Source organism: Homo sapiens, chromosome 1 (genome assembly GCF_000001405.40).
Source record: "Homo sapiens chromosome 1, GRCh38.p14 Primary Assembly".
In the NCBI taxonomy this organism is placed as follows: Eukaryota; Metazoa; Chordata; class Mammalia; order Primates; family Hominidae; genus Homo; species Homo sapiens.
The window spans coordinates 5503174-5524442 of NC_000001.11; positions in this window are offsets into that span (position 1 = coordinate 5503174).

Consider the following 21269-nt stretch of genomic DNA (forward strand, 5'->3'; position numbering starts at 1 on the left):
AAAAGCATTCTACCACGCAGCATCCTGCCCGGGTGGACCAGGGCAGAAGCACTGAGGTCAGCTCCCCTGGGAAGATGGTGTCTCAGGGTCTTCCTGAGTTGCTCTGAGCTGGGGGCCTTGGGCAGTTCCTTCCTGACCTTCCTTGTCTACAAATTGAGACTCATCGCCTTCCTCGCCGAATTAGCATGCAGGTTCAAAGAGGGGCCCGGAGGCTCCTACACGACCAGCCAACAAACTCTAATTTCAAGACAGTGTCTTCCCCCTGTTCCTCCTGATAACAGCAGCTGCAAGAGGGTTCAAACCCCAGCACACTCATGGCTTCCTCTTGCTCTGCACTCACTCTGGTAGATTAGAAAAAATTGTACTAACCGTGAAGTTTAATTTTCTGTGTTCTGACACTTTGACTTCTAGTGCCTTGCTGATCCTGGAGGGACGGCCCTTCCCAGGGCTGGCCAATTCCTACAGATAGTAAAGGACTGTGCTGGGAGCCCACCTTTAATACCAACCCACCCAGAGCCCACACCCCACGACCTCCTCTACCAGATTCTCCCCCCAGGGCCACCATCCACCTGCCCTAGTCACCCCTGGCTAGGTGCCAGACACCTAGGGGCAGCCTCTCTGCCCCAGAGCCCACAGAAATTATCCACACGAGCCTATCCTTCCTGCAGAAACCACTATAAAGGCTCTGCCCACATTGCCCCCGGCTCCCTCTGCCTCCTGATGGATGCCCCTGCTTTCCCCTGTGGCCCTGTGTGACGTGGCCTGCCCCCTCCTCATGGGATCTGTGAGTAACAAATCCTTAAACAGGCAGCTGCCTGCTGATCTGCTGGCCCACCATGGCTGCATATTAATAAAACCCACGATGGAAAGCAGGAATAAAATAACCAGCCCTGCTCAGCATAGCTCCACCAATCTTTGCCATTGCCTTGTCCCAAAGGAGACTGTGGGGAGCTGCCTGGGCTCAGCCCTGGGGCTGGGGCAGGTCTGGCCAGTGCTGGGTCTGGAATGAGCTGGTGCACTCAGCCAGCACACCTGAGGCACATTCCCACCTGGCCTCCTCGCATGGAGGGGATGTCCTCCCCACTCTTAGTTATATTTCCCAGCCCTTTCAGAACTTGAGCAGCAACACGGTGTTTTCTCTTTCCTTCAGTGGAGCCCTCACCGTTAGGGGCAAAGCCTCACACTGCCCCACATTCTCTCCCAGTGACATAGAGAAGCTTCTGGCAGCAGCTCAGAAATGCTCCCAGGAATCCACGTCTTGGCTCTCCGGTGGCTACAGCTGACCCAGCCCATCCCCTGGAGCCAACAAGGACCAACGTCCCCAGGCCCTGAGCTCGCCACTCAGCCAGCAGCTGAAGCAAGCACTCTTCTTCTGGGGCTGCTCGTGCCAGGGGAGTGATCTCATCCCCCTGGGTCTGAGATTGGGGAAGGTTCTGGGTGACTAAGAGCCGCTGCATATGAAACCCTCTGAAAGGCCAAATCCCAGCTAGAGCTCCTGTTTGGAGATTAAAACTGGAACATCAGTACCCCCGAAGCTGTGAACTAACGTTCAGGGGGATTCCCAGTCCAGTCACTGTGACCTCTTTTCCTGTAGGAGGCAGCTGTCAGCAACAGGTTCGTCTCCCAGACACACACACCGCAACACGCAGCTTGCACTTCCCCGGCCCCTTGAAACAAGAAATGGCCATGCAACGGTCTTTGGCCGATGAAATGAGTGCCACTTCCGGGCAGAGGCATCAAATGGCTGGAGTGAGAGCATCCAGAACTTCCTTCTCCTGCCTTGGTAATTGAGAAAGTGCCTGTTTACAAGGAGGTACAACTCGTAGCCATCACGAGGCCCGCCATGCCATATTCTGAGTATTTGCATCTATGCCCCCAACTCTACTGTTGAAATCCTAGCCCCAACAGTGATGGTATTAGGACATGAAGCCTTTGGGAGGCGACCAGGTCATGGGGGTGAAGACTTTGTGTGAGAACACAGTGAGAAGGGGCCATCTGTGAACCAGGAAGCTGGCACCGAACCAGAAACCAAAGCTGCCAGCACCTTGATCTTGGACTTGCCAGCCCCCGAAGTGTGAGAAGTGAACTCATCATTTTCTAAGCTACATAGTAGCCTATGGTATTTCCCTACATCAGCCTGGATGGACTAAGACACAGGGTCACCCTGAAGAGTGCTCAGCCTTGCAGTGACCCCTGCAGAAGGGAGGAACAGAATGTTGTTGGTAGCTCTGAGATGGGCGCTGTTTGTTACTGTACCATAACCCAGCCCACCCTGACTAACATGGGCAGGCAGAGGAGTCCGTCGGCCCCCAGGGACTCCTGGCTGGTGGCCCCCGAGAGGACAGGGCCTTGGGTGGTACCAGACATCTGCAAACCAAGCCAAAAGTCTCCAACAGGAAAAAAAAAAACAGTGACAGAGAGCATTTCACATGGCTGTATCTGACAGAGAGAGTCAGATTCTAAATATCTGTTATCAAAATTGCCCGAGGAGAGAACGTTTATTAAAAGTTTTCCATAAGCATTCCCCAGCTCTTTAATCACAGGGTGTTTTTTTTCTTTACTGTAACATCTTCAGCACATTTACTGCTTTTGCATAAAGGACTTTTGCTTCTAATCACATCGATTTTATTATAATTAATTTTTAATGTATTTTCCAGGGTGTTTCGTATGTACAGACTAAGATATTTTATCATATATTAACATAGCCATTTCCACTTTTAAAGTGGGTTATTAAATGAGGGTTAATTTATTATTGCTTAAGATGTTACAATGTTAACCCAATTATAATTTGGGTTTTGTCATGTGCACTCTGGAGTGTGATAGGATATTGATAATAGACCCAGTAGGATGAAATTTACTAAATCAAATCCTTAGGGCTCTTGCTGAATTCTCATAATAGCTTGATTAGCTAGCAGACACCCATGCTGTCATCCGGGCGGCTCTCACCTGAGGGCAAAGCAGCCTGCATCGTGGGGCCTGGACCTGGGGTCAGCTGGGGTCAGGCCTGTAGGCCAGGCTTCTTTCCAAGACCTGGGGCTCATGTTTACTTCCACATCCTGCGCCAGTGGACTCAGATTCCAGGCTCTGTCCTCTTGGCCAAGGATCTGGTAATGCACAAGGAAGGTTGAGGACGTGGGTCTGTCAGACTCCCCCAGGTTCAATCGGGGAGACTTTGCCCCATGGCTCGGTGTGTTTGAGAAGAACCACAGGGGATAATGGGTGTGAGCACCTCTCGTGCCCACCAGGTCCAGGATGGGAGCATCAGCCATGGGATGGATCTGGACCAGCATCCTCTATTCATCCCACAAACACTCCCCCAGCCCGAAGCTCTATGCCCATGCCTGCCACGGAGCCAGGAGGATCAGGGCCCAGCCCTGCCCACACACAGCACCTATGCTGGCCAGAGAAATGCAGCAACCACCAACATGAACCAAGAGAGAGGAGGGCAGGGCAGGAGGTGGCGTCCTAGGCTTGCTGACCACGTTGCTTGTGGTGCAAGAGGGAGCTCCAGGTGTCTGGCCTCCAAGGAGCCTTGGGAATGGGTGGATAGCGGAAGGTGAGATCAATGGGGAGGAGGGAGCAAGTCTCACCTGAGAGAGACACTTCTGCTTCCAGAGCACCGAGACGGCTTGTGCTGTAAGGAATCGCCCCCACACCCAGAGCGGGGCCGAGTGCTGAAGAGAGCTGCCTCCCCCACCCTGGCTAAGGTGACCAGCTTGTCCCGCAACACCACCAAGGACAACAAGCCCCATCCCCGGGCAGAGCCCAGCCCCCATGACACAGGGAGATGGCAAATGAGGGACTCAGATGACTTGGGTACTCGCAGGGTCCCTGTGTTGTCAGGAATCTGCTCATCATTCACTCTCCCCCCCTCCCCTGGAAAGAAAGAATCGCACTTTTCTCCTGACAAGCCAGGAACTGTGCCACCTAATTTAAGGGGCAGGAAGAACCACGATAGCACTCAGCACTCGGTGCTCGTCACCAGAGATGTATTGTAGCTGGGAGCATAAAAAACACCTCATTAAATCATCTCTTTCCCTTCATTAGGATAACATCACTTAAACCTGCCGTCTCCAACCTCAGCAAAAGCTGCCCCCTCCTTCTGAAAGCTCAGAGCTGGGGTGGGACGTATGCCAGGCCGAGAGGGTCTGCACACCCGCCCCCAGGAGTGTGCATCTCTCGGTGGCTAATTCACTCGCATTGATGGATGGATTGCACGGTGTGCTTATTTACAATATTTACACTTAGGGTGAGAGGAACGTTCTGGCATGGAGCCATTTATCTCATTCTTTTTGGAAGCTCTTCCTCTTTTTCGCTAATGGGAGTATCACTCACTAGATAATACCCAGCCTCGCTTGGCCAGCTCAGCAACTTTCCACGAAGAAGGCTCACGCGCTCCACCTAAGCCCGTGCCGCACCAGCCCAGAGTGCGGGGCAGGCATGGCGTCTGTCAGGCAGAACTTGCTGCCCACACCCCACTGCAGGCTCCATGTGGGGTCTGGGTGGCCCCGGTCTCTCACCAGCTCTGGTGGGAGAGTGTTCCGAGCCTGACATTGGGCAGCCCATCCACTCTCTCCACCGTGGGCTTCCCGGGGTTCCATGCCATCATGGTAACTGGTGTTGTCAAGTATCTGTCCCTGCCAGAATCCATGTTAAAATGTAATCCCCAATGTTGGAGGTGGGGCCTGGTGGGAGGTGTTTGGTCATGGAGGTGGATCCCTCCTGAATGGTTTGGTGCCGTCCTCATGGTAGTGAGATCTCCCGAGATCTGGTTGTTTGTCAGTGTGCGGTAGCCAGGTGCGGTGGCTCACTCCTGTAATCCCAGCACTTGGGAGGCCAAGACAGGTGGATTACTTGAGCGCAGGAATTTGAGAACAGCCTGGGCAACATGGCAAAACCCTGTCTCCACCAAAAAAAAATACAAAAATACAAAAATTAGCCAAGCATGGTGGTGCATGCCTGTAGTCCCAGCTACTGGGGAGGCTGAGGTGGAAGGATCACTCACTTGAGCCCAGGAGGTGGAGGCTGCAGTGAGCCACGGTCATGCCACTACACTCCAGCCCAGGTGACAGAGCAGCACTCTGTATCAAAAAAAAATAAGTGTCTGGCACCTCCTCAACTGGCTCTTGTTCTCACTATGTGAGACTCCTGCTCCCCCTTCACCTTCTGCCATGAGTAAAAGCTTCCCAATGCCTCCCCAGAAGCCAAACGGATGCCGGCATCATGCTTCCTGTGAAGCCTGCAGAACTGCGAGCCAATTTAAACTTCCCTTCTTGGTAAATTCCCCAGCCCCAGGCATTTCTTTATAACAATGCAAGAATGGCCTAACCCAGGAACAAAGGGGACCCTGAGGCCGCTGGACAGAACCTGGCCAAGGTGGTGGACAAAGTCAGGGTCAACCTGGGACCACACAGTGGATCTTAGGCTCACTTGCCTCAGGCTTTGATGTCCTGCCTGAATCCTACCTGGGGAACGTGGCCTTGACCTTTGCCTTTTGTGTATTCTGAGACGGGGGCTGGGCAAGGTGCAGTTGGAGGACACAGCAGGACACTCCTTGGATGCCCCCACCTCCCCACCCCTGAGCCCTGCTCTCTGTCCGTTTAGGGTCCTGGCATGGCCATGCACACAGGTGCACCCCTGCCCAAACCACGCCCAAGGTGCCTCAGCACCAACCCAAGACCCTGCCCCAAGAGGGCTGACTCTGCCTGTGACCCAAGGGTATCTGTTTCTCTCCTGGGGCTTCAGTTTCCCCCAGATGAAAGGGGTGAGCTACTTAGTGATTCCCAACCTTGGCTGCACATTGGAATTTCCTGACAAGCTTTTAAAATTCCTGGTGCCTGACCACGCCACTGACGGCGGCATTGCCTCCCCAGGTGGGGACCCAGACCTCTGCATGTTCATGTCTCCCCAGGTGACTCCAACCCCAGCCAGAGGTGAGATCCAGCAACCTGTATCAGCGGTTCTCAGCGTGGGATCCTGGGACAGCAACAGCAGCCAGGTTGACAGGCCAACTCTGCAGCCTCCGCCCCACACCTGCTGAGTCAGAAACTCTGGCTGTGGGTGCAGCAGTCTGGGATTTTACCGGCCCTGCGAGGGATTCAGCCTCCAGCATCCCGGTGCGCTTTCAGCTGTGACCCACCTGAGTGCCGTGCAGACAGTGCTGGGAAGATCCTGGCTCCAGGGCCCACTAAGCTTCACTTGACCCTTAGAGGCCCTGCTCTTCATCTGTGAAGCCCCTAAAGATGCTCTTTCCCAGGCACCTTGTAAGGAAATAAACAAGGTCAAGTCCACCAAGTGCTAAGCATCCCAGGCCTTAGCAGAATCTTTCTCCATGGGTTGACCTCGGTGTTGACAATGTCATCAGGCACCGAACAGGCAGTCACAATTCAGAACCCTGCCCTCTTTTGCTTCTGGAGAAAGATGGAAGGAAAGGAAAGGGTTTTATCAAAGGGAAACAGAGACCAAGGATGAGTGTGTGGTGTCCGACAGGCAGGAGGATGAGGCCAGGAGGGGTGTCTTGGAGACTCCAGCGCATCTGGGCTGCCCCGAAGAGGGTACCTGGAGCGGAGCGACCAGGGGGATTGAGGACAGGGAGAGACAACTTGGGGACGGCAGAAGCTCCTGGAGGTGGGCACCCTGGATGGAGGAGGGAGGAGGGAGGAGGGAGGAGGGTCCACCTGCCTGCCGGCCTGGGGCTCCCTGGGCACGGGACTCTCCTGCACCAGCTCACTGGTAGCACAGACACGCATGGGAAGGGACCCATCCCCAATTCACTGTGATGAGTGCCCCTAAAACGACCCAGCCCGTGCGGTTCTGCGGGGTCACAGGTACAGCCTCCTGGGGTCCCCGAGGACAGGGGAGCCTGCAGTGTGCAGAACTGGCCACCAGGTGGCAGCAACACCGTCTCCCCAGGGGTTACTTTGTTACAACTTCGGGAGGATGGAAGGGAGCAGGTGGTTGCAAGGAAGCAGCCCCAGAGAGCTGGAAGGAGGGTACTCTGCCCTGTGAACCACATCAGGGGACGTCCAGTGAATCCCAGCAGACCCAGAAGCCAGACCCCCAAGTATGCCTGTCCAATCTCTGCCCTACAGCCCAGCATTTTCCCCCAACCCGTTTCTCTCCCCAACCAGGTTTAAGGAAGCTTTGCAAATTCCTCAGGACCTGCAAGTTTCTGAGAACGAAATTTTGTGTTTTTATTCAACGAGTCTAAAATACATCCTGCCAGCTCTAGAGGCAAAAACTTTCGCAGAGGTCATTTACCAGGGAAAACGATCTTCCTCAATAAAGGCCTTTGCTTAATCATTACTCCATAAACTGAACTCTGAGGGCTTCAGAGATATTCTCTAGGGTTCAAGAGGAATGGTTTCCTCCAGAGAGATCCATGCATGTACCCAGGTTTGATAAACATCGGGAAAAAGGCAATCGTCATCATAGCTACCTTTTACTCAGTGCTCACCACGTGGCAGGCTCTCTTCTCCATGGAACCCTCAGAAAGAGCCCGGGAGGTGGGTGCCGGTATCACCTCCACTCTGCAGATGAGCAGACTGAGGAAGGAGAAGCCAGCAATGGCAGGGTGGGGATTTGGGCAGGGCGGCCTGACCCATAGCTCCTTCTTAACCTTGGGACCATACTTCTTCCCTCTGGCATCCTGGGACTCCTGTTCTCACCTTTCTCATCCCCTCCTTCCTCCTCACAAGTGGAACTGGGGTGAGGAGCTCCCTCACTGCACAGATTTCCTTATGGAGAGGCAAGACCTGACTCCAGCCTTGTGCTTACGACTGACCATGGCTTAAAGGGCTCTCCCTGCTGGGGACGCATTTCCTTTCCCTGCTTGGCAGTAGCCATGCAGGGCTGATTAGAGCCTCTGCCAAGGGACCACAGCTAACATGGACATTTGATCTCGCTTCCTCCGGAACATAGAGCAAGCCCACAGCAAGGGTCAGTCATCCTGGCTCCCGAGGAAATGTGCACAGAACAGCTCCTTGGCCAGTGTGCTGCCCAGGACTCCAGAGCACCTGGGAGGTGTCCCCGGCCCAGAGGGGATGGGAAAAGGTGGAGAGAGTGGTGGGACGGAGGGGTCCAGGAGCCTGCAAGCTGAGCACCCTAAAGCCTGGCATATCTGCCCGATGTCGAGGGCCCTGATTTTCATACGGGACTGGCTCCTCCGTGACTCAGGCAGCCTATGAGTCCCCATAAATGTGCCCTGTGTGGAATCCAGGACATAATTGTGCGTCTTAGGCAAACAGGGAGAGCTGAGAGACAGGAAACACGGAGCTGATGGGCCACAGAAGGGAAATGAACAGAGAGAATCAACCCAGCTTGAAACAAAAACACATTCCCAAGAGTGGATCTGCAGACTGGTGTCGCAGTGCAAGGCTGGGTGTTGCCCTTGTGTGCCCACACATCACCCTCCTTCAGGAGTGGCAAAAGCACATGAGGCAGAGGCTGTGTGTGTGCGCATGTGTGTGTGAGAGAGAGAGAGAGGGAAAGAGAGAAATGGAGGGAGGGAGAGAGAGAAAGGAAGATCATCTCTTCAAGCCAGGCTCTTAGAAAAAGAGCATCAAAAATATTTTGTGAGGAATTTCCTGAGTTCCACATCTTTAACTCTTGGAATAGAGGCAGAAGGAGATTGTAATTAAAATTGGTAGTGGGGCGGGGGAAGCATCATTATATACAGAATTTCTAAATGCCTGGAAGTGATCTTACGAAGACAAATTGGTTTTCCAACCCCACCCCAGCTATAAAAAGTTATAATTGAGTCATCAGCACCCTGCTGAACTAGGAGTCTGGATTGTTTTTAGGTAGATGAATGAACTTGAGAAAATTCTTCTCTCCAGGCCGCGATTTCCCTTAGTTTTCAAACTGCATCCTAAAGAGTGCGGGGCTTCAGCTGAGAAGCCTCATGGATGGTGGTCTGTCCCCACTCCCCCACTCCTGCCATTCAGGCAGGAGGCTCCCCACACCTTCTCTGTAACCCCCAGCTTCAAGCCAAGCTGCTCTTCTTAAAAAAAAATGTCGTATATCTCCTGAAGGAGGTTTCTTTTGAAAACACTGGAACTTAATAACTTCTGAAGTCCCTTCCAGTTCTGATGCCAGGCAGAACTGTCTGAAATCAGGTGGGGGCCATGAAAACTGCCCTGCACAGCAAAGCAGGCCCAGAAGCTTCCACCATTCAGCTGAGCCCCATAGTGAGTCCATCCTCCTGTGGTCACTCATCCTGCCTCCTCTCTGCAGGTGCCAGCTGGGCCACATGCTGGACTCAAGACTTCTGCCTTTGTTCAGAGCACTTGTCATCTCCAGAGGGCCCTCCATTCTCTCTTCCACCATCCTAGTGCCCAACTATGCACCCTATAAAGACAGGACTATGCTTTTCAGCATGGCATGAACTTGGCATGCAGTAGATGCTCAATAAATATTTGCACAATAAATAAGCAAATGCTGCCTCCAGGGTCATGCTCTACATTTGTGGTAGACAGAATTCTGTCCCCCTAAGGATGTCCCCACCTTCTGAACCTGTGAATATGGTACAGCACATGGCAAAAGGGACTTGGCAGGTATAATTAAGGATACGGGCTTTAAAACAGATTATCCCGGATGAGCTGGGTGGGCTCAAGTTCATCTCACAGGACCTTAAAAGCAGAGAACTTTCTCTGGCTGGAGCAGGAGAAGGGAAGCAGAAGGGGAGGTTAGAAAGATTCAAAGAGTGTCAAGGACTCAACCTGCTATTGCTGGCTGTAAGGATGGAGAAAGGGGGCTGTGATCTGGGGAATGCAAGAGGCCTCTAGAAGCTGAGAACAAGCCTGGCTACAACCAACCAGGAGGCAGACCTCAGTCCTACAGCCACCAGGAATTGAATTCCACCGACAACCCTTATGAGCAAGGAAACAGAACCTCCCTCAGAGCCTCCAGATAGGAGCCCAGGCTGGCCAATGACTTGATGTTGGCCTCCTAGGACCTGGAGCAGAGAAGCCAGTCATGGCCCCAAGCCCCACCCTAGACACTTGCCCCTCCCTTTACCCTGCATGTCTCATCTCAGCTTGGCGTCAGCTTCTCAGAGGACCCAACTGACATAGAGCTTGCGCCGCCAGCCCCTGAGGATGAGACACACAAGCGGTCAGGATCCAGGTGGGCTCTGGGTCCCTGCAAGGTGCAAGGACAAGGCTGAAGCTGTCCTGGGCTGTCTGGCGCCGGCTGCTCCAAGAGCCCTGCTCTTATGATGTCTGGCCCCCTCTGTGAGCATCCCTGCTGATCGGCTGGAGGTGCAGGATGGTCGGGGGCTGGCCCCTGCTGGAAAGGGTCCCATCTGCCTGGGGTGGCCTTGTCCCCATTGTCCCTCTTGTCCCTGTGGCACTTCTTCTCATGGTTCATTTCCATATTGGAGCCGTAAGACCACAAAGGACAGGGTGTGGACCTGGGGATGAAGCCAAGGAAGTATGGTCTTCACTCAGGCCCCAGTGCAGGGAATGGTACACCAAGCCCAATTCAGCTCACCAACGGCAGCCTCAGGCCTCAACCACTGGCCAGTGCAGCCCATGCCATCCGGAGGCTGTTGGAGGGGGAGGCTGTGTCTGTAGCTCCATGGTGGCCATAAGGGGCATGTGACAGTGAGCAGTCTTTTCCTGCAGGTCCAGTGATCTGACCGCCCTGGCAGCACCTGAGGGTCACAGTTTCAGGATCTTGAGCAAACTTTTTGTCTGACAGACAGTATGCCACCCCTTCCAAAATTTCAGTCCTCCTAAGAGGCTTCTGTTTACACACCACAAGAAAGCAGCCGCTCCTCTTAGGCCTGACACTTCTCTTTTTCAAACATTAACCAAAAGCCTGGCAGGCTTTGTGTTTAGAACATAAGGGACACACCCTCCCCCAACCCCTCCCAGTCTCCCTGCCTCCTCCGAGCACCTGCACAGCCAGTCTGCTTCTCCCCTACCCTTCCCGCATCCAATCCTGCACCTGCCATTCCACATCTAGGTTTTCTCTCCATCCACCCCTCCCTCTCCATCACAGCGGCCACCCTAGCCCAAAGCCGTCTGCTGCAGCCTCCTATAGGATTTCCCTCTTCCGCCTCCCCCTCTACCATCCATTCTCTGCAGAGCAGGCCATGCAGAATTCTCAAAGCAATGAGTGTCAGGTCACAACTGGGCTTAAAGCCAACAATGACTTCCCTCTGTGGGTGGATTTAAACAGGAACTCCTCTCCTCTCAGTCCTCCTTTGCACCTCTGTTCCTCCTGCTCTTGTCCTCTCACTGCTTGGACCTCTGGCTGGTCCTTGGACAAGCCTGCTCTGTTCCCTTTATGGTCCCTGGAATGTATGTTCCATGGAGACGGGCTGTTGTCTGTTTCACCAACAGAGTTCCATCACCAAGACCCTGAAGCACAAAACCCATCCATAGTTGTTGAATGAAAGAATGAGTGAGTGAAGCGAGTAAGAAATAGTAACTGGGTTTAAAAGCTAGAGGAGAGATAGTAAAGTTACACAAATGCTAGATGAATATAAATGATCTCAGTGCAGTTCTGCACAGCTGGTGCCTATCAGGTGCAGTGCCTGCAATTCCACTAATGGCCACCGGGGGCGCAGCGAGGCGGCAGAGCTGCCAGGCCCCCAGGCCGACCTTGCAGGAGGCTGGGCTCACAAAGCCAGATTTCAGCGTCTACTCCGGTCTCATGTGCTTTTTCTGTAACAGTGTAACTTTTGATTAAAATAACGATGTGCATTATTCATGTCATTACTATAAATATTGTCTATTATAAAGAGATTAGTAAAACCACAGGTACAAGTTATATCTGTTTCCGAAATAGACTTAACTGTTTGTCAATGAGGAAGTAAGCTCTGAGCTTACATCCAAAGCCCAGAGCCTGGCCTGAGTCCCTTCCTGGAGTCAAAAACCTCCTGGACCATTCCTGCACCAAGCACGATGTCTTAGTCCGTTTGTATTTCTATAAAGGAATACCTGAGGCTGAGTAATTTATTAAAAAAAAAAAAAGTTTATTTGACTTACGATTCTGCTGGTGGCAAGATTGGGCATCTGGTGAGAGCCTCAGGCTGCTTCCACTCATGGTGGAAGGTAAAATGGAGCCAGGTGTGCAGAGGCCACAAGGGGAGAGAAGACACAAGAGAGACAGGGGAAGTTTGCCCGCTCTTTCTTACAACCGGCTCTCATGGGAACTAGTAGAGGGAGAACTCACTCATTACCTTGAGGACAACACCAAAACCTTCATGAGGGACCCGCTCCCATGACCCAAACACCTCCCACCGGGCCTCGCCTCCAACAGTGGAGATCAAATTTCAACAAGAGCTTTGGGGGACAAATACTCAGACCACAGCACAGGACTTCACTTGTTACATCAGCTCACCTGTGCTTTGCATGACCAATTTGCTTTCTCTGAAGAGGATGTCTCAACAGAGCCTCCTTGGCCCTCTAACTGGCTCAATGACAATTCTACTTGATCCCTTTGATGGCCCAAAGGGCACACCCTGAACCTTCGGGGGTGGCCACTGGCCCACCAGGCATCTCATGGCAGCTCACCCTCAAGAGCGGCTACACGCCCCAGCCTGTGTTCATGGAGCCCTAGATCCTTTGGCTCTCAGTCATCTATCTTTAGCCCAGTTGCTGGCCTCGGTCTGCTGGCTGTGCCCTGGAAGCTGGCCTCTGTTCCTTTGTGTCTTCACGTCCATAGATGCTCTTCCTGAACCAAGACCGTGCCCTTCCTACAAACTCTGAATTGACCTGTCTGCTCCCTGTTATCAGGAACTCTCTACCCTATCCCAGTCTGTAAACACCCATCTAATCTCTGGCAAATTCCTGGACCAAACAGAAGCCCACCCCCACCACCTGTGTGGGACTGGGTTATACTTTCAGTAAGACAGAGAACAGCTGAAAGGATGCATACTTACTCAAAAACAAAAGCCCATCTTTCCCCTCAAGCCACCTCCCTACTCTCACCTGAGTTGTTTCGTGGCTGGGCCATTTACTAGCTGTGTGAGCTTAGCAACCTCTCCAGGCCTCAGTCCCCCAACCTGTAAAGTGGAGGGTAATTAAACCTCCCACACCATAGGGTTGTTGCAGGGATTAAAGACGGTGATTGCAGGTGCCTTAGTACTTGACAAGTAATGAGAGGCTGGGAAATGCTCACTATCTTGTCTGATCTTTGGTATAAAAGTTAGTTATTCTGCAAAAGTAAACTGGTCTTGTAAACTCTAGTGGATTAAATTTTGTTTGTTTACATATAACAGTGGTTGTTTTATAACAAAGCACTGCATTTGTTTCTTCAAAAGATCTAGATTTATGTTCTTTTTACAAACACAGTTTATAAAAAATTATTTAATGTCTCCTCACTTAGTTGGATTAGACACGGCCTCGCCTCTCCCCCACAACACACACACACACACACACACACACACACACACACACACACACACACATGAATGGATACAGAAGCCTGAGGCTGTGGTCCACAGTGGTTAAAAGCCAGGAGCCAGCGTCCTCCACCTGGCTCCCATTAGAATCACCCCAAGAGATGCTGCCAGGCCCCCTCTGTAAGCCACAGTCATCAGGGTCTCAGGGTGGGGGCTGGGTGTCATGGTTTTAAGCCTCTCCACGCATCTCCAATGCACTGCCAGGTGAAAAATGCCGCGTTAAGGTCATCGGAGTGGCAACTGAGATGAACCAATCAGGGACAAGGTTCTACGAGATTTTGCTAATGTACCAGGGCCCCTGCCCTGAAATAGGTGATCACAGCCAAGCTGGTGACATGACAAGCCAGGTTCATGATGGACGGTCATTACGCAATTTTGGATCATCAAAGATTCCTTGTCACCCATAGCATTGTAAAGGGCTCAGCACAGCGGGCAGGGGCGGGGGAGGCTGAGAAGGGGAGGGCTGTCTTCTCCTCCCTCAAGGAGGTTGCCCTTTGGTAATAATCAAACGATGTTCCTAGGGGAGGAAAGTTCACCAGTAGCTTGGGCTAAAATTCTTCAGACTAAGGAATTGTGGTTAAAATATTTGGGTTGGGATACTGATTTCCTAGCTGTTTCAAGAGAACTTCACCACCTTTAGAGATACATGCTCCAATATTGTTGGATGAAATGACACAAAGCCTAGGATTCATTTCACAATGATCCCAGGGAGGAGCCAGAAGTAGGTGGGGGTTCAGGGAAAACAGGGCTGGCCATTCATACATTGATGATGTTTGTAGCTGGTGATGAGCACATCAGGGCTTATGTTTGAAATTGTCTACAATAAAACACTTTGTATCCTAATATATATAAGATACAAAGTCTCAGTTAGACTGGAGGACTAAGTTTTAGAGATCTATTGCACCGCATGGTGACTATGGTTAATAATAACATACTGCATATTTCAGAATTACTAAAAGAATAGATTAACATTCTCACCACAAAAAAATAAGTTGGTGAAAGGGATGACTATGTTATTTAGCTTGATTGAATCTTTCTACAACATACACACAGATTAAAACATCATAGCGTACCCCATAATATACAAATTATTTGTAACAATAAATTTTAAAAGATTTTTTAAAGAGATATAAATATAGAAAAGTATAGAGAACCTATATGCCAAACACCAGTATCCACCACCCAGAATTAACTATTGTTCACTGTAGGTCATTATGTTTCTTTGGTTTGTAATAAAGAAACATAATATTTACCCACAAAAAAACGTTTTCAAGAAAAATGGGGCTAAGACCCCAGGACTGCACTCTTCTTCTGGGCATGGTCAGAATCCCTTTCTGCACATCCTCATCCTCACCTTTCATAAGGTGCCTCCTCACTCCCCAACCTCCCTTCCACTCGTGACTGCTTCCTCCACCTGCCAACCCCCAAGAATTATCAACTAAACAGATGTCACATAAGTGGATTGACAATTGCATTATTCCAGATTAGCGTATGACAGATGGGGGTTCCCAGCCACAGAGGCTCCTCTCCCAGGACCCCCTCCCTGTGGCTGTGAAAGTTTCCTCTGTGTATTCCTCAGCTTGGGCTGCATAGCAAAGTATCATAGACAGGGCAGGTTAAACAAAAGAGGTTTGTTTTCTTACAGTTCTGAACTCTGTGTGGAGTATGAATTAGGGAAAAGGCTCATGCAGGCAGAATCAAGGGAAAGCAAAAAGAGAAAGCAGATAAGCCATACATCTGCCTTTCCATGGTCCAGAACACGTAGCCCTTCTGCACAAATAACTCACAATCTTCCTGCGCCCAACTATCACTAGACACACCTGCAAGCTGGCTCACTGCAAACTTGGTGTTATTAGTACCACGCAAAGCCCTCGTCAACAGACAGCGTGAACACTATCCTATACAATCTCCAGCAAGCCTTTGTTTCTTTGCAGTCAGCATCTGCTGACTTGCCCATTGTCTCTCTGGCAATGCATTTTCCTACTTTCTCTAATAAATCTACCTTCCTTGACCTACAATTGTCTTGGTAAATTCTTTTACCGGCCCCTCCCCCCACAGCCCCCCCCCCCCCCGCCCACAAACACACCAATCATCCTTCCCCCATGACACTCTGGAAGTCCAAAATTAAAGTGTGGGCAGGGCTGGTGTATTAGTTCATTCTCATATTCCTATGAAGAAATACCCGAGACTGGGTAATTTATAAAGAAAAAGAAGTTTAATGGACTCACAGTTCCACATGGCTGGAGAGGCCTCACAATCACGGCAGATGGCAAATTAGGAGCAAAGGCACATCTTACATGGTGGCAGGCAAGAAAGCATGTGCAGGGGAACTATCCTCTATAAAACCATCAGATCTTGTGAGACTTATTCACTATCACAAGAACAGCATGGGAAAGACCCACCCCCATGATTCAATTACCTCCCACCAAGTCTCTTCCACAACACATGGGGATTATGGAAGCCACAATTCAAGATGAGATTTGGGTGGGGACACAGTCAAATCATATCATTCTACACCTGGCCCCACCCAAATCTCATGTCCTCACATTTCAAAACCAATCATGCCTTCCCAACAGTCCCCCAAAGTCTTAACTCATTTCAGCATTAACTCAAAAGTCCACAGTCTAAAGTCTCATCTGAGACAAGGCAAGTCCCTTCTGCCTATGAGCCTGTAAAATCAAAAGCAAGTTAGTTACTTCCTAGATACAATGAGGATACAGGCATTGGGTAAATACACTCATCATGAATGGGAGAAATTGGCCAAAACAAAGGGACTACAGGTCCTATGCAAGTCAGAAATCCAGTAGGTCAGTCATATCTTAAAGCTCCAAAATGATCTCCCTTGACTCCAGGTCTCGCATCTAGGTCATGCTGATACAAGAAGTGGGCTCCCATGGCCTTGGGCAGCTCCATCCCTGTGGCTTTGCAGGGTACAGCCCCCCTCCTGGCTGCTTTCACGGGCTGGCATTGAGTGTCTGCAGCTTTTCCAGATGCACGGTGCAAGCTGTGAGTGGATCTACCATTGTGGGGTCTGGAAGACAGTGGCCCTCTTCTCACAGCTCCACTAGGCAGTGCCCAGTGGGAAATCTGTGTGGGGGTTCTGACCCTGCATTTTCCTTCTGCACTGCTCTAGCAGAGGTTCTCTATGAGGGTTCCACCCCTGCAGCACACCTCTGCCTGGACATCCAGGCATTTCTATACTTCCTCTGAAATCTGGATAGAGGTTCTCAAAACTCAATTCTTGACTTCTGTGCACCTGTAGGCCCAACACCACGTATAAGTTGCCAAGGCTTGAGGCTTGCATGCCCTGAAGCAATAGCCTGAGCTGTATGTTGGCCCCTTTTAGCCACAACTGGGATGCAAAGCACCACGTTCCAAGACTACACAAAGCAGCAAGGCCCTGGGCTGGCCCACGAAACCATTTTTTCCCCCAGGCTTCCCAGCTTGTGATGGGAGGGGCTGCCTTGAAGACCTCTAACATGCCCTGGAGGCATTTTCCCCAGTGTCTCTGCTGCGATTTACATTGGGTTCCGCGATTTACATCGGGTTCCTCGTTACTTTTGCAAGTTTCTGCAGCCGGCTTGAATTTCTCCTCAGAAAATGGGTTTTTCTTTTCTATCACATTGTCAGGCTGTGAATGTTCTGAACTTTTATGCTATGCCTCCCTTTTAAACATACGTTACAATTCCAAACCATATCTTTGTAAATGAATAAAAATGAATGCTCTTAAGAGCAGGGTCACATTTTGAATGGCTTGCAGCTTAGAAATTTCTTCCACCAGATACCCTAAATCATCTCTCTCAAGTTCAAAGCTCCAAAGGTCTCTAGGGCAGGGGCAAAATGCCACCAGTCTCTTTGCTAAAGCATAGCAAGAATCACCTTTGCTCCAGTTCCCAGAAAGTTCCTCATCTTCATCTGAGCCCACTTCAGCCTGGGCTTTTTGGTCAAAACCACTCAACAAGTCTCTAGGAATCTTCAAACTTTCCTACATCTTCCTGTCTTCTTCTGAGCCCTCCAAACTCTTCCAACCTCTGCCTGTTACCCAGTTCCAAAGTCACTTCCACATTTTCAGGTATCTTAATAGCAGTATCCCATTCTACTGGTACCAATTTACTGTATTAGTCTGTTCTCACACTGCTAAAAAAGACATACCCGAGACTGGGTAATTTGTAAAGAAAAAGAGGTTTAATGGACTCACAGTTCCACATGACCAAGGAGGCCTCGCAATCACGGCAGAAGGTGAAGGAGGAGCAAAGGCATGTCTTACGTGGTGGCAGGCAAGAGAGTGTGTGCAGGGGAACTGCTCTTTATAAAACCATCAGATCTCATGAGACTTATTCACTATCATGAGAACAGCATAGGAAAAACCCATCCCCATGATTCAATTACCTCCCACTGGGTCCCTCCCAAGATACATGGGGATTATGGGAGCTACAATTCAAGATGAGATTTGGGTGGGGACACAGCCAATCTATATCAGCTGGATCCTCCTGAGGGCTCTCTCTTTGGCTTGTAGATACTGTCTCCTCCCTGCGTCCTCATATGGTCATCCCATTGTATGTGTCTGTGTCCAAATCTCCTCTTCTTATAAGGACACCCACCCTATTGGATTAGGGTACCCCTTCAATGCCCTGTTTTAACTTTAATCACCTTTTCAAAGGCCCCATCTCCAAATATACCACACACTGTAGTACTGGAGGTTGGAACTTCAACAGATAAATTGGAGAGGAAATAATTCAGTCCCTGATGCTCTGCTATCCCCAGATGCCACACAGCACGCTTTTTATCCAGAATAATTGCCACACACATTATCCACCAGGTGAGTGACATTTCCTCTTTCAGTCACTTCTCAAGAGATCATTTTTTGCAAAGCCTTTTCTTTTTAGGAGATTTAAGGTAGAAAAAGAGAAAAACAAACCAACATAAGCCTCTGAGTTTGAATACAATAAATCTCATTAATTTGGGCTTACTGTAGGAAAACATTCTAGGATAGTAAAGGCTTTCAATTGATTACTTCAGAAGATTTCTTTTAACTGGTTGCTCTATCCTTGACGAGCTGAGGAAACCCATCTCAATAAACAGACAAGAATCACTTCCAATTAATAGTATCGTTTGGGTGCAAAGAGTGTGCTAATGATCTTGACTAATTATTCCCCTGATCAGTTAACCATTAACCCTTTCTTTTCTTTCTTTCTTTCTTTTTTTTTTTTCTTGAGACAAAATCTCACTGTGTAGCCCAGACTGCAGTGCAGTGGTGTGATCTCGGCTCACTGCAACCTTTGCCTCCTGGGTTCAAGTGATTCTCCTGCCTCAGCCTCCCGAGTAGCTGGGATTTCACATGCCTGCCACCATACTGGGCTAATTTTTTGTATTCTTAGTAGAGACGGAGTTTCACCATGTTGGTCAGGCTGGTCTTGAACTCCTGACCTCGAGATCCACCCACCTAGGCCTCCCACAGTGCTGGGATTACAGGTGTGAGCCACAGCGCCCAGCCAACTGTTTCTTTTCATATGCATTCCTTGTGGTGCTAAATTTAGTACACCTTGTGAACAAAGGTAAACCTCAAGTCTAACCTACAATCAAAAGGAAACCTTGATAGACAGAAACCCAGACACTGCAGTTTCCTTTTCTCTCTGGGACGCAGTCTTATCAGCTTCAAGGGAAACGGGAGAGCCAGGAAACACTGGCTCCAGGTAACACGTTATACGGAAGCCTAGATTAAAAAACAGATTGTGTAGTAATCAATTCATCACTTCCCTTTGAGGTAAAATAAAGGGAAGTACAATCAGGCAACAGTAACTCAGAAAATATTTTTGTCTTTAAAGTTAATGGGACCCACGGTTTTAAATGGAGCCATATTCAATTCTCCCAAGGTTTTCCTTGCTTTTAAATGAGGTTATCAACTCCCCGTGCAGCAATTAAATGTGTCAGCAAAGCTCCTACTTAGTGCTACTGAAGCACTTAATTTTCATTAAAAAGATGACATTGAGAGCAATTATCAAGGACAATCCACATTCGTGGGTATCTATATTCATAAGGACAGATTGTAACACAGAGATGCATAAATTACCTAGATCTGCTTCTGTGCTTCCTCCTAAGCTAGGCTGCAAACTGGTCGGCTCTAATCGCTTGTTCCCAGTCTCTCCACGACGGCCAGCGTGCAGGACTGTTCTCCGTGCGTTCACACCACCCCCGTCCCTGGAGGCTGAGATGAGTCCCTGGGGTCTGATACTGATGATTTTCCATCATGCACTCATTTCCTCCATCATAACCCGTTTAACACATCCCTTAATTGAAAGAGGCAGCTTGATTCTGTGCTCTGTTCCCCTTCACCGTCTCCAGTCCCATGCCTGTGAGGGTTCAAGGCTACTGACAACAACAGCTGTGGCTGTCTGGGGCCCCTAGAGCAAGTCAGGCACTCTACAGAGAGCACGGCCCAACCTCCTTGTTGTGGCACCCCTTCAGTGCAGGAGTTACCACCCTATGGACGATGGCTAAACGGAGGGTCAGAGGGGAACAAATATCATTTTCTCCAAGGTCACTTGCCTAGAAAGTGACTGAGTCAGGATTTGAACCCAAGTCCAGCCCTGCTCAAAGCTCCTTGCCATTTCTCTGCTGTGCCAGGAGAGCTTCCCAAATTGTATACTTAACGATTGGATCTCAATATTTATTTTAATCTAACACTATTGAAAAATTATTTTGCCAGATACAGTGGCCCACGCCTGTAATCCCAGCACTTTGGGAGGCCCAGGTGGGTGGATCACGAGGTCAGGAGTTCAAGACCAGCCTGGCCAATATGATGAAACCTTGTCTGTACTAAAAGTACAAAAATAAGCTGAGTGTGGTGGTGCGCACCTGTAATCCCAGCTACTCGGGAGGCTGAGGCAGAAAAATCACTTGAACCCGGGAGGTGGAGGTTGCAGTGAGCCAAGATCGCACCACTATACTCCAGCCTGGGTGACAGAGCCAGACTCTGTCCCAAAAAAAAAAAAAAAAAAAAAGGAGAGTTTTGATGGCTAGATAATATTCCCTTTTCTGGGTCAGCCGTGGAGTTGATATAATTTCCATGACTTGAGCCCCTCTGTGGGTTGTCCTAGGTAAGCTGTTTCTCATTCATCCTGTGTGCATTTATGGAGCACCTATGAATGCCCCACTGGGAGCAAGGACTCTGCAGTCTGATGAGCTCAGCCCTATCTGGTGCCCCCTCCCTCCAGCCACCCCCTGAATCTCTGGAGTTGGTCTTCAGGTCACACGGCATCCACTGGAAGCTTCCAGGTGCTTGTCCTGCCCTGCCCTGTTGGGATGCAGAGAGGGGGCCGTCAAGGGAGAAGGTTAAATGGATTCCACATGTCCAGAGACTTCTAGGATTCGGGGGAAATAGGTTTTGGGGGAGGGAGGACAGTACAGTGTGACTCTCGAGTCAGACACTCCTGGGGTCGGCCCCGAGCTGCCCTTCACCACCGTTCTGTATCCTTGGACAACCCTCTACCCTCCGTCTTCTCATCTGTGGGGTATCCCGCAAAGATGAATGACGTTTGCACTCCATGCCAAGTCTACACAGCATCCTGAGCAGAGGAAGGTGTCACAGTGCCTGTTTCTCAGAGTTCTCTAGAGTGAGAGGTGGACCCCACAAAAGATGAGGGAAGCATGGCTTGGTACTGTCAAGACAGTCAACTTCTGATAAAAATGGAATATTCAATATGTCTCTGCCGTGGACACAAATGCATTGCCTGGAGCTATGGCAGCTATCTTGGGATCACAAGGCAACAAGCCTGAGGAGAACACTAAAATCAAGGAAACATCATGCTAAGACAGGCTGAGTGGAGGCTAGACCAATCCTAGGGCTGTGCTGAAA